Below are 16,417 nucleotides of genomic sequence, written 5' to 3'. Positions count from 1 at the left end.
TATGAGAATCTAATGTTGCCACTGATCTGACAGGAGGCGGAGCTCAGATAGTAATGCGAGCAATGGGGAGTGGCTGTAAATACAGAGGAAGCTTTGCTTGCACAACCACTGCTCATCTCCTGCTGTGAGCAGTACCAGTCCGGTCTGTGACCTGGGAGTTGGGGACCCCTTAGACTTTTTCTGGCCATGACCCTGGTGTCCCCTAGAGTAGCACTCAACCTTTTTTTTTTCCCTTTGATACAGAGTCTTGCTCTGTCACCCAAGCTGGAGTGCAGTGGCGCAGTCTCAGCTCACTGCAACCTACGCCTCCTAGGTTCAAGCAATTCTCCTGCCTCAGCCTCCCAAGTAGCTGAGATTATAGGTGCCTGCCACCATACCTGGCTAATTTTTCTATTTTTAGTAGAGACAGGGCTTCACTATTTTGGCCAGGCTGGTCTTGAACTCCTGACCTCAAGTGATTCCACCCGCCTCGGCCTCCCAAAGTGCTGGGATTACAGGCGGGAGCCACTGTACCCAGTCGGCACTCAACCTTTGAGGGAGAGGAGATAAGGGACAGATACCCCAGGTTTCTTACCCCTTGGGTGGAATAACTCTGAGGCATACTATAAACCTGGGATAAGGAAACCCTTTTTGTAAAAGGCCAGATAAATACTCTGGGCTTTGTGAGCCATGTAGTCTCTGCTGTAACTACTCAACTCTGCCTTTGTAGTGTGGGAGCAGTCACGAACAATGCCTAAATGAATGGGTATGGCTGTGTTTCAATAAAACTTTATTTATAAAATCAGACAACAGCCAGGCACGGTGGCACATGCCTGTAGTCCCAGTTATTTGGGAGACTGAGGCAGAAGGATTGCTTGGGCCCAGGAGTTCAAGTCTAGCCTCGGTAACATAGCCAAACCCTGCTCTAGGTCTAAACAGATTCCCAGAATCCTCATCAAGAAAAAGTGACAAAGTTGGAACCTGTCAATAACACACCTTAAAAATAGAGGTTTCTTCCTTTCTTACGCTTCCTGGGATCACCGGCTATAGAAATTACTTGCATTGTATGTGTGTATACATCCCTAAGTAATATATATTACCACTTTGTGTTTCACAGTAATTACACAATAACCATCATTTGACATGTTAGAAAAAAGAAAAGATATAAAACTACTTGCACTTAAATCCTTGTCTCAGAGCCTGCTTCTGAGGGCACCCAACCTACATTATTATTTCATTTTATACTCATAACTACTCTAACAGTTAACTAATACCATCTCCATTTTATAGTAAGGAAACTGAGGTTCAGAGATTACACAACTCGTAAGTGATAGAGTTCCTGTGAGATGTCTATCTGGCTCCAAAGTCAGTGCTCTCTCCACAACACTGCCAACGTAAGAATGGATATAAACAAATACATGCTCATGCACAAACACACACAAATACTTAATCAAATATACAGCTTTAATTATGGCAAGGAAGAGTACTACATACAGCAAACCATAAAGCAAAATCATACTACTCATGTACTTAATGATCTATGTTAAGGAAGATCAAATAAATAAACAAGTAGTTTAAGATAAATACACAGTAAGGTTTGAGGGTTATAGGAAAATACTTTTTTCTCTTTTATGCTATTTCTTATCGAAGAGAGAATTCATGTCTCATCTACAATTGGTTGCAATCTTAGGAGGTAAAACCTTTGCTTATACTTGGGAACATGTATACCCATTCAAGGTAGAGCTCCATATGTGACTTGGAATTTGGAGAGAAAGGCACTAGATTAAAATATCTTCTTACATATTTCAACATGGGAGTGGAGAGGGAGCACGTGTGAAATTCCCCTATGGATACTAAGGATTCCAGAGAACACCCCAAAAACCCAGAACCAGCATATCTGCAAACCAGTGTTTCAGCTTACGCGGTCTTGCCCTCACTGTCGTGTTTGGTGGCACTGGCCCCCTTCTTGCCGAGCAGTGAGGCCACCTTCTCCGCATCTCCATTCTCCACGGCCTGCAGTAGCCGGTCATCATTCTTGTTCCACTCATTGGTCTGTAGAGAAAGAGAAGAAACAGAGGTCATGAACAACACTGGCCACAGCCGCACTGACCAGCAGGGCTGCAGTCCTCGCAGCCCCCACCCTCCTGTCACTCAAATTAAAGCCTGCTCCCGAATGAGTGTGTTTTAAAATACCTTCCCCTTCACCATGGAGACACCCAAGAAGGCCGCTTTCCCAAAAGAAAACATAAATAGTGCAATGAAATCACGGCTAGTCACCAAACTCTGAGATAAAATTTACTTCTTTTAACTAACACTAGGAATATGAAGCAACGTAAAAAGACCTCAAGGCCAGTTTACACATTAGCTAATTTCTCGCTGAACTAGACAGCTGCTCCTCAGCACGTTGGCCTTTGACCTCATCCACAGCTCACTCTGTCCACCGTGTTACAGAACCAAACCAGCAGCTCAAGGTTACCCGAGGTTTACAGACACATAATTTTTCATCTGCTTTTATTGCCTCTCTTTCTGGTCTGTTTACCAGGCCCTGAATTTTGAGCTGGATACTGATTTTAAGTAGTTGTCCAGGCTACCGACTCAACAAAGTCTCACCAGAAACAAAACTTCTTCCTGAGCAAGCTCTTAAACGTCAAAGAGCTTTGAGCAAAGCCTCAATCACTGTCAATGCCAAACCCCAACTGAATAATTCTGCAAACCACAGTAACAGTAAGGCACTCGTATGTGCAAAACTGATTTCTACACTTAGGAGGGAAAGAGACGATTTCTATATAAGAGCAGATGGGCTCTGAATATAAGACTAAGAAAGACATGAAAGGCAGCAGTGAGCCACTGAAGGTTTGGGAGCAGAGGAGGGAGAGAATTATAGAACCAGTGACTGAAGAGTCATTGGGAGGTGTTGAAGCACGTGGGATTAATGAGGGAAAGAGGGGAGGAAGGAAAGATGTTGAGCATATCAGAGGCTCTGGGCACTTTGCAAGCCCGGGCTGCCTTCCAGTCGTCTCCTGCGCCCGGCCCCTGAGCTAAGCCCACTTTCTGGCCCCTTCGGCTGTGGACACCACACCCTGGGAGAGACTCCTTTTCCCTTCCCAAAGCTTTCTATAGACTCTGCTTCCTTGCAGCCTCTGAAGGGATGAACCTCCAGGTATTTCGTATTAACAGCTTTACGATCGACCCTTAAAAGGAAGCAGACAGAGGAGATATTGTAGATTTAAAAACTAAAAAGAAGAAATTTTACAGGATGACAGTCTTCCACGGCCCCGGGAGTATGTTCCCAATCTCTGTACTGATGGAAATGAGGAAACCCAACAAGTCTTTGTCCATCAGATGTCTCAGTCACCCTCCCAACCCTAGCCCATATGTAGGGCCTTAAGCCAGGGAGGGATAAAAGAGATGTGTTCAGAATTTGCATCTCTGAACGTCTCAGGACTGAACCATTCCCAGTTTTTAGGACTCTGTCCTCCCCCACCAACACTGAGTGCAGGTGCACAGTAGGAATGAAGCAGGTTTGAACAAAAATCAGCAGCTTGTTCTCTGGGCTGCGTGAACTTGAAGTCCAGAACTCCAGACTGACACTTACATGTTGTGTGACCTGAAGTCACCCATAATCTTTCTGTGCCTCAGTTTCCCCAGGCTTTGGACTGGATGTCCACTGTGATTCCACCAAAGCTCAAAATTCTTATTATATAAAATTCCCCAAACTCTGCTAGGGATTACTCTAGAACAGGACTGTCTGCCGTCATGGAAATGTTCTTTATCTGGGCTTTCAAATACTATAGCCACAAAGCCAGTGATTCTTAACCAGGATTTGTTTTGCCCCTGTGGGGTCATTTGGCAATCTCTGGAAACATTTTGGTTGTTATGTCTATAGAGTGCTACTGGCATTGAGTAGGTAGAGACCAGGTGTGCTGCTGAAAGTCCTACAATGCACAAATGCATGAGACAGTCCTCCTACCCCCACCAAGAATAATCTGGCCCAAAATGTCAATACTGCATGAGCCACTTGTGGCTACTGAGCACTGGAAATGTGGCTAGTGCTACTGAAGAAGTGAATTTTTAACCTCGAGACTTCACGTGACGTTAGCCAGAGGCCACCATGTAGACCAGTGCAGCTCTCCTTGATGACTCTCCTCATAGGTTTAACAAAGTAAGAATGTGTCTGGACCAACATCAGCCACGCTCCTACTACAGCAATTTACTCACAAAGAAATGAGATTTTTGTCTTTAGTTACCAATCAAGCTTCCTGTTGAAGGGAAACATAAGAAATATGGCGTTCCTCACACCATCATTTGTTAGTAGAATAGAAAGCGTAACTTAACAACTGTACAAACAACTACAGCAAATGATCAAGCCCCAAGAAACACAGTGCAGCTTATTCCCCCAGAGTGCACTTTACAAGCAAAGAAAAAAGGGAAGAACATTTAGGACCAATGATCCCTACCTATAGAATCCTAAAAGAGAAAAGTATTGTTTTTCCAAATCCTTTTCTAACCTAAACTGAACAAATTAAAACTGGACTGGGAAGATCAAAAGGATATGATCAAATCTCAGAGGACAGGACTGAAAGTATTCAAGCAAAGGAACGGCCGCATGAAAGGATTTTCCTTTTCAACGTTGCTAAGGCACTCTACTCTTAGGTAGAGAAAAATCTGATTGCAGGGGTTCCCTAAAATTCGTTCCACATGGATCTTTAAGGGAGTTCAGTTTCTATAAGACATGGCAGGAGAGATCTTCCCTATCCTGCTCTTTGGAAGACAAGGTCAATGCAACATTCCTAGTGGTCTGAAATGCCTCTCTTCTATCTAGAGCCTCTTTTCAGTGCAGGCCAGAATTTACTTTTCTCTTGGAGCAGATGAAGAGAACATGGCTACACAAGCAAATCTTCAATAAATAATCCACAACACCATTCAAGAAGTGCTGCAGATGGGGTTCACAGTAAGCAGAGCTAGGTTGGGAAAAGAGGAGGGAAGGTAAGAGCCTGGGCGTGGTAGCTCATAACTGTAATCCCAGCTACTGGGGAGGCCAAAGCAGAAGGATTGCTTGAGTTCGAGACCACTCTGGGCAACACAGTGAGACGCCATCTCTAAAAATAAAAAATTTTAAGAAGAGTTTTGCTCTTAAAATTCTCACAAGCATGCTAAAACTAGAGGCCAAGTAGGGTCCCAATTAGACGTCTGATCCAGGAATCTGGATTCTGATCAAATAGCAGAGTTGTCTAGTCCTGGGCCAGGCCACTAATCATACTTGCAATTAGCTCTGATATGCACAACTGGCCATATCATGCTCCTTCCAGAAGCACAGTGATAAAGAGGCCATCAGTTTTCCTTCCTAAACTTGCCCACGGAGATATTTCCTACATCCTCTCATCCTCTCCTATAAAACTATTCTATCCAGTGCCATACTCTTTTTTTTTTCTTTCTTTTGAGATGGAGTCTCACCTTGTTGCCCAGCCTGGAGTGCAGTGGCACGATCTTGGCTCACTGCAACCTCTGCCTCCTGGGTTCAAGCGACTCTCCTGCCCCAGCCTCCTGGGTAGCTGGGATTACAGGCATCTGCCACCATGCCTGGCTAATTTTTTTTTTTTTTTTTTTGAGATAGAGTCTCGCTCTGTCACCAGGCTGGAGTGCAGTGGTGCAATCTCAGCTCACTGCAACCTCCGCTTCCTGGGTTCAAGCGATTTTCCTGCCTCAGCCTCCCGAGTAGCTGGGACTACAGGCACATGCCACCACGCCCAGCTAATTTTTGTATTTTTAGTAGAGGTGGGGTTTCACCATGTTAGCCAGGATGGTCTTGAGCGCTTGACCTCGTGATCTGCCCACCGTGGCCTCCCAAAGTGCTGGGATTATAGGTGTGACTCACAATACCTGGCCCAATTTTTGTATTTTCAGTAGAGATGGGGTTTCACCACATTGGCCAGGCTGGTCTTGAACTCCTGACCTCAAGTGATCCTCCCACCTTGGCCTCCCAAAGTGCTGGGATTACAGGCGTGTGAGCCACCGTGCCTGGCTCCAGTGCCATTTTCTATACCAAAATTCCCATAGCCAATCACAACATGAGACAAAACAGATGTTCAATAAGCACTTTGAGTCATTCTTTGGAATCCAGAAGCAAATCCTCTCCCCTACCCCCACCCCCAAGCATCAAAAAAAATCTCAAAAAGTCACTTTGGTCAATCTACTGTCCAAAAGTAGAGCTGGTCAAATAAATAGGTAAAGTTTGAAATTTTATCATAACATCCCAAAGTAATTCATTCATACTCTAGAATCAAAGAAGGCTTTTGGAGACCACCATCAAACTAACAAAATTACCTCTCACCACTTTCCATGAAAATCCTCTCCTCTAACTAGCATGCCCTCCATAGGACAGGACTGATTCTGCCTCCACCCTGGGCTTCTGGTCCTCTTATAGTTTTCAACTCTATGAAAGCTGTATAGTTTATCGGTTAACCTCACATGTTAAAAAAATAAAATAGAAAACATCAGATGTACCACCTTTAATAAAGTTAAATGTCTTATGAAGCTTTTATTTATTACATGTATGTGTATCCTGACTGATATAAAATACATTTCTGGACTGGGCACGGTGGCTCGTGCCTGTGATCCCAGCTACTTGGGATTCTGAGGCAGGAGAATCGTTTGAACCCGGGAGGTGGAGGTTGCAGTGAACCGAGATTGCACCACCGCACTCCAACCTGGGCGACAACCCAAGACCTTGTCTCAAAAAAAAAGAAAAGATACATATATATATATATATACACACACACACACACACACACACACACACACACACACACACACACATATATGTAAGAAATATAGATATTTCTTACTGGAGGATCACAAGAAAAAACACTGGCAGCCACTGCTTCAGAATGCTCTGTCACCCCATCTGCCTAAGCAAAGGCGTATTTCGAAAGCCTAGCTCAAGCCCCGCGGGCCCTCTCCACCCTTTCCTGGTGGCCTCTCTCTGTTTCTCTACTCCATTGCGTCCCTGGGGGCCATCCACTCGCTCATCTCAACCGAAGCCCACAGTCTAGACTTGATGAAATATCGCATCCTGGTTTTTGTTCGAGAGCTTACGGTTTTTCTCCTGTGTTTAGCTCCCTGAAGGCCCTGAGAACAGTCTTCATTTCTTACCCCCATGGTGCTCAGTATTTGCTGCTGATTTTAGCAGGAGGTTGATTGGCCTAAATCACTCTCGACTTAGCAAATATTTGTTTTTTCATTTACAAAAGTTTCATTCTTTTGCAAACAACTATTAAATCGTGTTTCAGGTTTTTTTATAGGCTAAATAAATCCAACTCCCTTAACTTTTTTAAAAGGCCAATTTTCCAAGATTTTAATCATGCAAATACTTTCTTCAAATCTCTTCCCAACTAAGGAGCCCAGCCTTATAAATTCAATCAGGGTGAACGCGATGTCTCCCAGTCACAAGAATCACCTGGGTGCTTGTTAAATCTGCAGACTCCCAAGCCCCATCTAGCAGACTCTGACCCCAGGAGTCTGGGGTGGAGCCCTGGAATCACTTAGGTTCAACGAGTGCATCCTTTGATTTTTATTGCTAACTTGAGGACAACTGGAACCTATGTTAAGACTAACAGGAGAATTCACTTGAAAGAATTTTCTTCTTCCACAAGGCATTAAGGAAGCAGGCCTGTGAAGAGAAGAATTCTTCACTATTTTCTTGTAGAACTAGGTATTTTGTTTCCCATAAAAGCTGAGTAAATATTGGTCTTTCCCCAACCTGTGTATAAGACATGCATTAGAATGTCAACGAAAGCATCGCTCATAACAGGCAAGAATTACAAATAACCCAAATTTCCAATAACAAACGACGGATAAATTATCACGTCGTCAAGCAACAGAATAACACACAGCAATGAAAATGAACAAACTACAACTAGGTACAACAGCACAGATGGGTATTAAAAACAGTACTGTTGAAAGAAGCAAGACACACACAAGAAAACCCACAATAGTATGACTGCATGCACATAAAGATAGAAACAGGAAACATGGAACCATAGTGTTTAGGGATGTATATACAGATGATAAAATTATAGCCTGGGTGAGGTGGCTCACACCTGTAATCCCAACACTTTGGGAGGCCGAGGTGGGCAGATCACTTGAGGTCAGGAGTTCGAGACCAGCCTGACCAACATGGTGAAACCCCCGTCTCTACTAAAAGTACAAAAAAATTAGCCAGGCATGGCGGGCACCTATAATCCCAGCTTCTCGGGAGGCTGAGGCAGGAGAATCGCTTGAACCCAGGAGGCAGAGGTTGCAGTAAGCACTCCAGCCTGGGCGACAAGAGGGAGACTCCATCTCAAATTAAAAAAAAAAAAAAAAATTATGGCCGGGCGCGGTGGCTCACACCTGTAATGCCAGCACTTTGGGAGGCTAAGGCAGGCGGATCACCTGAGTTCGGGAGTTCGAGACCAGCCTGACCAACATGGAGAAACCCTGTCTCTACTAAAAATCCAAAATGAGCCAGGCATGGTGGCGTAGCCTGTAATCCCCGCTACTCGGGATGCTGAGGCAGGAGAATCACTTGAACCTGGGAGGCAAAGGTTGTGGTGAGCTGAGATCGCACCATTGCACTCCAGCCTGGGCGACAAGAGCAAAACTCCACCTCAAAAAAAAAAAAAAAAAAAAATGATAAAGCAAAGTAAGGATAAGGTCAGTATAAAAGTAAGGGTCATGATTAGGGGTGAAGGTGTGGCATCCTATCAGGAAGGGACACCCGGGGCCATTCTGGGACTTGCTCTGTTTTAGGGTCTGATTAGCAGCTCCTCAGATGCTCACTTTATAACTACTTGTTAGAACGTACATGGTTTTGTGTACTTTTCTCCATATGTGATTTATTTCTTTTATTTCCTTCTCCTTCCCTCACCATCCCCCTTGAGGCATACAAAACACATACACACAGAATTTAGAAAGAAGTCCTGTGCTTCAGTTTTTGGTCAACACCAGGTCAAACGCCTTCGAACGGTTCAGTCTCACTTGCTGTTTCCTCGTCGCTTAAAAAAAAAGGCAGAGTGGCGCCAAAATCTGGTTCTTAATCTTCTGGAGGCCTCATGGACCCCCTGGAGAATCTGGTACAGTTACAGACATTCCTCAGAATAATGCACATCCACACAAAAACTTGCATATGATTTCTGGCCTAAATATCTACCCCCACCCAGCCCACTCCTAAGCCCAAGTTTAAAATTCCTGGTGTAGAAAAGAAGAGACAGACTTCAGAGTTCGGTGCTATTGAGTTGAAATTCCAGTTCCATCACTTCTAGGTGGTCATCCGTGTCCCTGGGCCTCCCTGTCCTTATCTATAAATGGCAGGAAATCCCCCCTACTTGTAAATTATCCTGAGAATCAGATGCAGCATACATAAACAGCCAGGCACATACTAGGTACCTAAAATGGTGATTCTTCTGGAATTTGATGAGCTGCACTGTTCCTTCTTGACTAATGTTCTATGAATATTTTAATATTTACAATTTAGGACTGATAGTCCAATACCCTTTTAGAGGCTGATAACAGCTTAATGCAAATTTTCTACTATGCTCCTTCAAAATCATATTTTAAAGGGCTCTAGAGAAACATTCACAGACATGAAATTAATGATTTTATTGAATATGGCTCACTTTTCCAAGAGACTGTTTAAACAGACACGATTTCAACAGAGAACATTAAGCCATACTTGCAAGTTCAGGAAGCCATATGTTATGCTGCAGAGACATGTGTAATGTGTCAGCTATGAAGGGCGGCATGTGGGAAAGAGCCCTTACCCTCAATATGGGCTCCAAACATTCCTGCTAATATATCACAAATGATATTGGCTGGCCGGTAAGTTTCCTATTCATCAAATCATTTCCAAATGACACTGACTTACTTAAAGGTTTTCTCTTGAAGCTTGGCCTTTTTGAAGCCTTGCCTGCCTCCATCTAGAATAGCAAACATCATGTCAACCGGGTGATGAACGCTGGGGATTTGGCAACCGGCAGTGTCTGCCCTTGGCCAGACATGGCATCACCTTCTTTTATTTTGGTTTAATCATTGGGACCTGAAAAACCAGTGGAACTCAGTGGTCACAGACATCTGGCTAGTCAAGAGGTTCTGAGTTTTCAAACATATCAACTCAATCAAAATAATCCAGTGGCACAGAATAAGCCAGGAAGAGAGTTTCTTTGACTTTCTTGAGAAAAGATGCCAAAACCCTAACCATCACCAATTAGAATGCTCTTGTTCTGTGCCTCTGCTCGGGCAGCCATCTGGAGGAATCTATCTGAGATTATCTTGAGAAAAGCTGCATTTCTTGCTCCAGTTTTCGGTGAGGAGACTGTTTTGCCAATATAATCAGCAAGTCTAAGACGAAAGACAAAGTAAACTGTTTTCACTGGGAAGGTTTCAGATTCACATTGTCCAGGAAAAAATCTTGCGCACACCTCATCATTTTAAGAAAGGGTACAAGGAACAGGCAAGCTTCAGTCTCAAATAATATTTTCCCCAGTTGACTATATCCACCAGTACTTACGGATATGTATCTACTAGGTGCAGGGTAATAAAGAAGATTCTATAGCTGTTACACAGATAAGTGAGATCTAATCCCTATCATTCATTCACTTATTCAACAAATAAGTGTGTTTTACATGCAGTATAGCCTTTCCCAAATTTTCTTTTTTTTTTTTTAATTTTTATTTTTTTAATTTGTAGAGACGGAGTCTCCCTAGGTTGCCCAGGCTGATCTTGAACTCCTGAGCTCAAGGGATCCTCCCACCTCAGCCTTCCAAAGGGCTGGATTATAGGCATGAGGCTCCCAAATTTTCTATATAGTTGCAGAGATCAAATACGGTAATACCAGAAATACGCCAACAATGCAAAATAGGATATTAGAAGTGGCAAAGTGAGCAAAATGGTGAATTGACACACTAGCAAGGAAAGACAACTCTCAGCTGGGCAAGCAGGGAGTTTCCTGACTGGATTGTGAACCAGTCCTTGCAAGAAGTAATATTTAAATTAAAGGAGAGAAGAAAAGACACAAGGATTGAAACATACAGGATGTATTTAGTAGAGAGCATAAACAACAAGTTGATACAAGTGAAACCTTACAACCAGAAAATTACCAATACAACACGGCAAGCACCTAACCAGCAGTTTCATAAAAGAGTGTTCCAGATAATGTTCGTTACTTCAGACCAATACCTGATGAGTTTATCTAAAATGTCTTTTCCCTTTACTTACATTTTTGCTTAAGATTATTCACACATGCAGGTTACACTGTCCCTGCTATTCACCCCGAAATCCATCACTCTCCCTAAATGAAGAGTGTCAGCACTTCCTGAGGTCTTTTCTACATAACTGCCGAGTGCTGTGGCGTGTACATAATACATAAACACCTCCATCCAGAAACAGGCTGGTCCCTCTGCCCTACCCACTTCAGCAAGCTCCTCCTCCTCATTGCTTTCCTTTTCCCCAGCCCTTCATGGCCACCAGGACCAGGTTAGTTCTCTTTGCTGGGGTCCCCCATGCTCTCTTCCATAGGCCTTGGCATGGTTGTAATTAAATAGTATTTCCAAAGTATCTGTAAAGGTCTGTCCACCTTCCACTGGACTAGACTTCCAGGGCATGGGCAATGGCTAGCATCTGTCTCGTTCACCACTAAGCCCCATGCCCCTTGCCCACTGCCCACTGGATGGTAGGGGCTCAGTTCAGAGCTGTGCATGGAAAGGCTTTGTTTTTCTCATTTCTACCTTGGGAGCTACTATTAATTAACCTCTTTAAGAATTTTAAATTATTAAATAATTTTAAAGACCCACCATGTCACAAGAAGTCAAAGCACAGTCTCATGGGGGCAGAGATAAGCCTAAAATAGGTGAAGCCAATTTTTTCCTTCATGGAGAAAAATTATCCCATCCAATTCTATTGGTTTCAACTACTCATTTACTTATATTCATTATTTAGAGAGTGAGAGAGTATGTGTGTGTTTATCTTATGTACTATGTGAAGTGCTTGGCATAGAAAGATTGACAGGAATATTGTTCCTTGAGGAGCCTTCAGACTTCTGAGAAGAGAAACATACCCAATAGCTACTTATGTCATTGTTTATCCGTGCTAGACTAGTGCTGTGGACTCAGTCCTATGAAAGCCCAAAGAGGATACCATTACTACTAAAATTAAAATGTACAGTGCGAGGAGCTGTACTATATTACAATTTAACCTTTACAATAACCCTATGAGGTAGGTACTATTATTAGCCCTTTACAGATAAGGAAAATAACAAAGAAGTTAAAAAACATATGCAGTCACTCCATTTACAATATAGTTGGTTCTCTCCAGAGGAGAAAGCCAAAGCAATTCAAAGGAAAATGAAGGAGGGAACTGTATTAGTTGGTTTTCACGCTGCTGATAAAGACATAACTGAGACTGGGAAGAAAAAGAGGTTCAATTGGATTTACAGTTCCACATGGCTGGGGAGGCCTCAGAATCATGGCAGGAGGCAAAAGGCACTTCTTACATGGCAGTGGGAAGAGAAAAATGAGGAAGAAGCAAAAGCAGAAATCCCTGATAAACCCATTAGATCTCGTGAGACTTACTCACTATCATGAGAATAGCACAGGAAAGACCAGCCCCCATGATTCAATTACCTTCCCCTGGGTCCCTCCAACAACATGTGAGAATTCTGAGAGATACAATTCAAGTTGAGATTTGGGTGGGGACACAGCCAAGACATATCAGGAACTTTTTAGGATGTTTAAACTTTTTAGGGGGGTTTAAATGTGTTCATACACTGGGGCAAGCAAAGGAGTCAGTGGAGACAGAGATAGCATGAAAGGTATAAGGATTGGGAGGCTGAGGCGGGCAGATCCCTTGAGGTCAGGAGTTCAAGACCAGCCTGGCCAACATGGTGAAACCCCGTCTCTACTAAAAATACAAAAATTAGCTGGGTGTGGTGGCATGCACCTGTAATCCCAGCTACTCGGGAGGCGGAGGCAGGAGAATTGCTTGAACCCAGGAGACAGAGGTTGCAGTGAGCCGAGATCACACCACTGCACTCCAGCCTAGGCTACAGAGCGAGAGTCTGTCTCCGTTAAAAAAAAAAAAAAGGCCAGGCGCAGCGGCTCACACCTGTAATCCCAGCACTTTGGGAGGCTGAGGCAGGCAGATCATGAGGTCAGGAGATCGAGACCATCCTGGCTAACACAGTGAAACCCCGTCTCTACTAAAAATACAAAAAATTAGCCGGGCATGGTGGCAGGCACCTGTAGTCCCAGCTACTTGGCAGGCTGAGGCAGGAGAATGGCGTGAACCCGGGAGGCGGAGCTTGCAGTGAGCCAGGATCGCGCAGCTGCACTCCAGCCTGGGCGACAGAGCGAGATTCCATCTCAAAAAAACAAAAAAAAAAAAGGCGGGGGGGGGAGGGGGTGGTGTATAAGGGGAGGAGGTGTGATGAAAGGGGCTGGGAGGTGGCAGAATTGAGGATTCAACCAAGGCAGAAGGCTGATCTTTGTGAATTGGGGTCGTGTTCTACCTCTGAAATAGTAAAGAGGAAGAGGAGCATGAGCAGAGATGCAGTGGCAGAGAAGAAGTCACTGTTGGTGTTTTATGGCTTTTACCTTTTCTTGGGGAAATGGGAGACAGAGTAAGCCCGGTCAGTGGTGGGCCAAGAAGCCCTACACATGGTAATGCTCCAATAGCTCCCGGGGGGAAGTGAGTAAGGAAACCTGCTTAAAATAAATATAAGGGTCTTTGAACAGCTCCAAAGGTCCAGCTGGGAGCAGCATTTGTAACTCCATAGAGAAACCATTTGGTAAGGTCACATGATTTTTCACTGGAGGCATCGGGTAGGATGGGAGAAAGGGGCAGTTGGCTTGATCTATCATGGGAGACTGAAAAGACAGAGAGTGAAGCAGAGATTCCAGGGTCAAAGGGTGAGAAGTGGCAGTGAGAGAGTACCTGCAATGACTATGGGATTGGGGACAGGTAAGGACAAGGTCCAGGGACTGGTCCTATAGATCAGAGGCAAGGTGTTGGATGGGTCATTGATGTGAATGTTAGAGTTCCCAGAATGATGGCAGAAAGGAAAAATCCTGGTGAAATATTAGGGAGCCACTTAGATGTCCCCAAAATATGGTGAAAAGCATGAGATGAGGGTGGCCCAGTATAAGCAAGAGCAGCAAATGTCAAATGAAAAAGGAGCAATGAGATTGTACAGAAAATGAGTCAAGCCTTATGACAAAGTGGCTTCTTGTGATTTGCTGAATTTTGAGTATGTGCTAGTACCTTCCAGGTGCCATAAATAATTTATTTCATTTAAATCACCATAACCACCTTTACTGGGTTGAACAGTGTCCCCAGAAAATGCACATTTTCCCAGTACCACAGAATGTAACCTTATTGGATAATAGGGTCTTTGCAAACATCATCAAGTTAAGATGAGGTCATATTCGTTTAAGTTGGATCCAAAATCCAATGATTGGTGTCCTTGTAAGGAGAGAGAGACTCAAAGGCATAGAGACACAGAATGAAGGCTATGTGATAATGGAGGCAGAGACTGGAATTATGCTGCCATTAACCAAGGAACACCAAAGATTGCCAGCAACCACCAGGAGCTAGAAGAGGCAAGGAAGGATTCTTCCCTAGAACCTTGGGAGGGAGCATGGCCTTGCCAATGCCTTGATTTTCGAGAATCATTTCTGTTGAGAGAATACATTTCTGTTGTTTTAAGCCACCCAGTTTGTGGTCATTTGTTACAGCGGTCACAGGAAACTGATAGACCATCCTGAGGCAGATATTGTTATCCTCATGTTACTGATGAGAAAACTGAGGCAAAGAAAATATAAGCATCTTGCCTAAAGTTACAAAGTCAGAGAGTGGAAGACCTGGAATTCAAACCCTGCACTCCAATGCTCTTATCACTGCACTTTCCTGCCTCCCGCATATGCCCATCACATTGAGAAGACTTCCAAAAAACCAAGCCAACTGGAAGAGAACAGCAGATCACAGCACAGTGGTCACTGGGGCGAGGGAGAGACCTCAGTCTGCTGGTATCAAGACTGGGAACTCTGAGGTCTGAATAAGTGCCTTTTAAACACAGGAACCACACCTAAAGAAAACTCAGTATTAAATATAAAATTTGTAGTTACACAAAAGCATTTAAAACAAGATTATTTGCTTTATAAACATGTTCATAAGGCCTCTGTGAATAGCAAGCTTTTGCGGAAAAAAAAATATAGGATTTGATCTACTCAAACATTCATTCATTGCTTAAAGGGAGGTACGCATGTAACAATGAATATTTTAGGGTCTGAGCAAGGCTTCCTTGCCCACAGACAAGACACTTGGAGACAGGTCTGGCTATTATCCAAGGACACTCCAAAAGTATTCCTGGCATGTGTCTGAGCATCATAAGCAGCCACAACTCCTGAGCTTTGCCCTTCACCCAAGCGATACATTACACATTTCACATGAAGTATCCAGACAAAATGATTTCATCCACAAAGTCTGCTTAAGTGCACTTTAAGTGTCTAAATAGTCAGAGTCGAGGACCAAAGTAATCTCCTGTCCTGATCATGCCCTTTACAGATGTTAAAGAATTAACAAAGGGCAAAGAGATAGCTAAAGAAATTCACATGCCATGGAAACAGTCCTTCAAGTTATAAATTCTACGTGAGTGCTAATTAATCTGTATTTTCTCTGCACCCCCGCCCCATACACACCCTTTTGGAACTAGTTAGTTCAACATGTGAAAGAAGGGATCTTCTATGAAGCTGGGGTCTACCCCAGGCCCAGGGTATCTCAATTGCCTATGACTAGTTTCTTGTTTGAACACTAAGAAAAAAATTGGGGACCCCAAGGTTAGGGTAGGAGTCCAAGAGAGCTTCCCATACTTGGTGTTGGCTAGCCCTACGTACATGTAAGTCCTAAGTGACTGTGGGGGTTCAATAGTGTCCTCCAAACATTCATGTCTACCTGGAACCTCAGAATGCAATCTTAATTGGAAATAGGGTCTTTACAGATGTAACTGACTAAGGTTCTAGAGATTAAATTATTCTAGACTCGGGATAGACCCTAAATCTGACAGCTGGTATCCTTAGAAATGGAACAGAGGATGCAGAGACATGAGGAAGAAGGCGATGTAAAGATGGAGGCAGAGATTAGAGTGGTGTGCCTACAAGCCAAGGAACCAAGGATTGCTGGCAACCACCAGAACCAGGAGACAGACATGGAACAGTTTTTCCTTCAGAATGTCCAAAAGGAACCAACCCTGCTGATGTCTTAATTTTGGACTTCTGGCCTCTTGAACTGCGAGAGGCATCCATTGTTTAAGCCACAGCTGGTGGTAATCTGCTATGGCAGCCCTAAGAAACTGATGCGGTGACACATGGAGAGGGTTTGCTCAACCAGCACAAACATCCCCAGAGGACTC

The 16,417-nt window shown here is 43.8% G+C and overlaps 1 protein-coding gene across 22 annotated transcripts in view; it reads right to left on the bottom strand.

Moving 5' to 3' along the window:
* RAI14 (retinoic acid induced 14) overlaps positions 1 to 16,417 on the bottom strand; it is a 176,285-nt gene that overhangs the window by 73,114 nt on the left and 86,754 nt on the right. For 18 of the 22 annotated variants that reach the window (NM_015577.3, NM_001145522.2, XM_047417088.1 and 15 more), the window contains one exon: positions 1,901 to 2,031. In NM_015577.3, the coding sequence (NP_056392.2) occupies positions 1,901 to 2,031 (131 nt within the window). Of the gene's footprint in view, positions 1 to 1,884; positions 2,032 to 2,172; positions 2,293 to 16,417 lie in introns of those variants that run through there. The other 4 variants (XM_011514016.3, XM_011514025.3, XM_024446017.2 and 1 more) reach the window with 3 other exon arrangements.

This window comes from Homo sapiens, chromosome 5 (genome assembly GCF_000001405.40).
Source record: "Homo sapiens chromosome 5, GRCh38.p14 Primary Assembly".
Taxonomy (NCBI): Eukaryota; Metazoa; Chordata; class Mammalia; order Primates; family Hominidae; genus Homo; species Homo sapiens.
The sequence above is the reverse complement of the archived record's forward strand: the minus strand, read 5'-3'. Positions and strand labels throughout refer to the sequence as shown.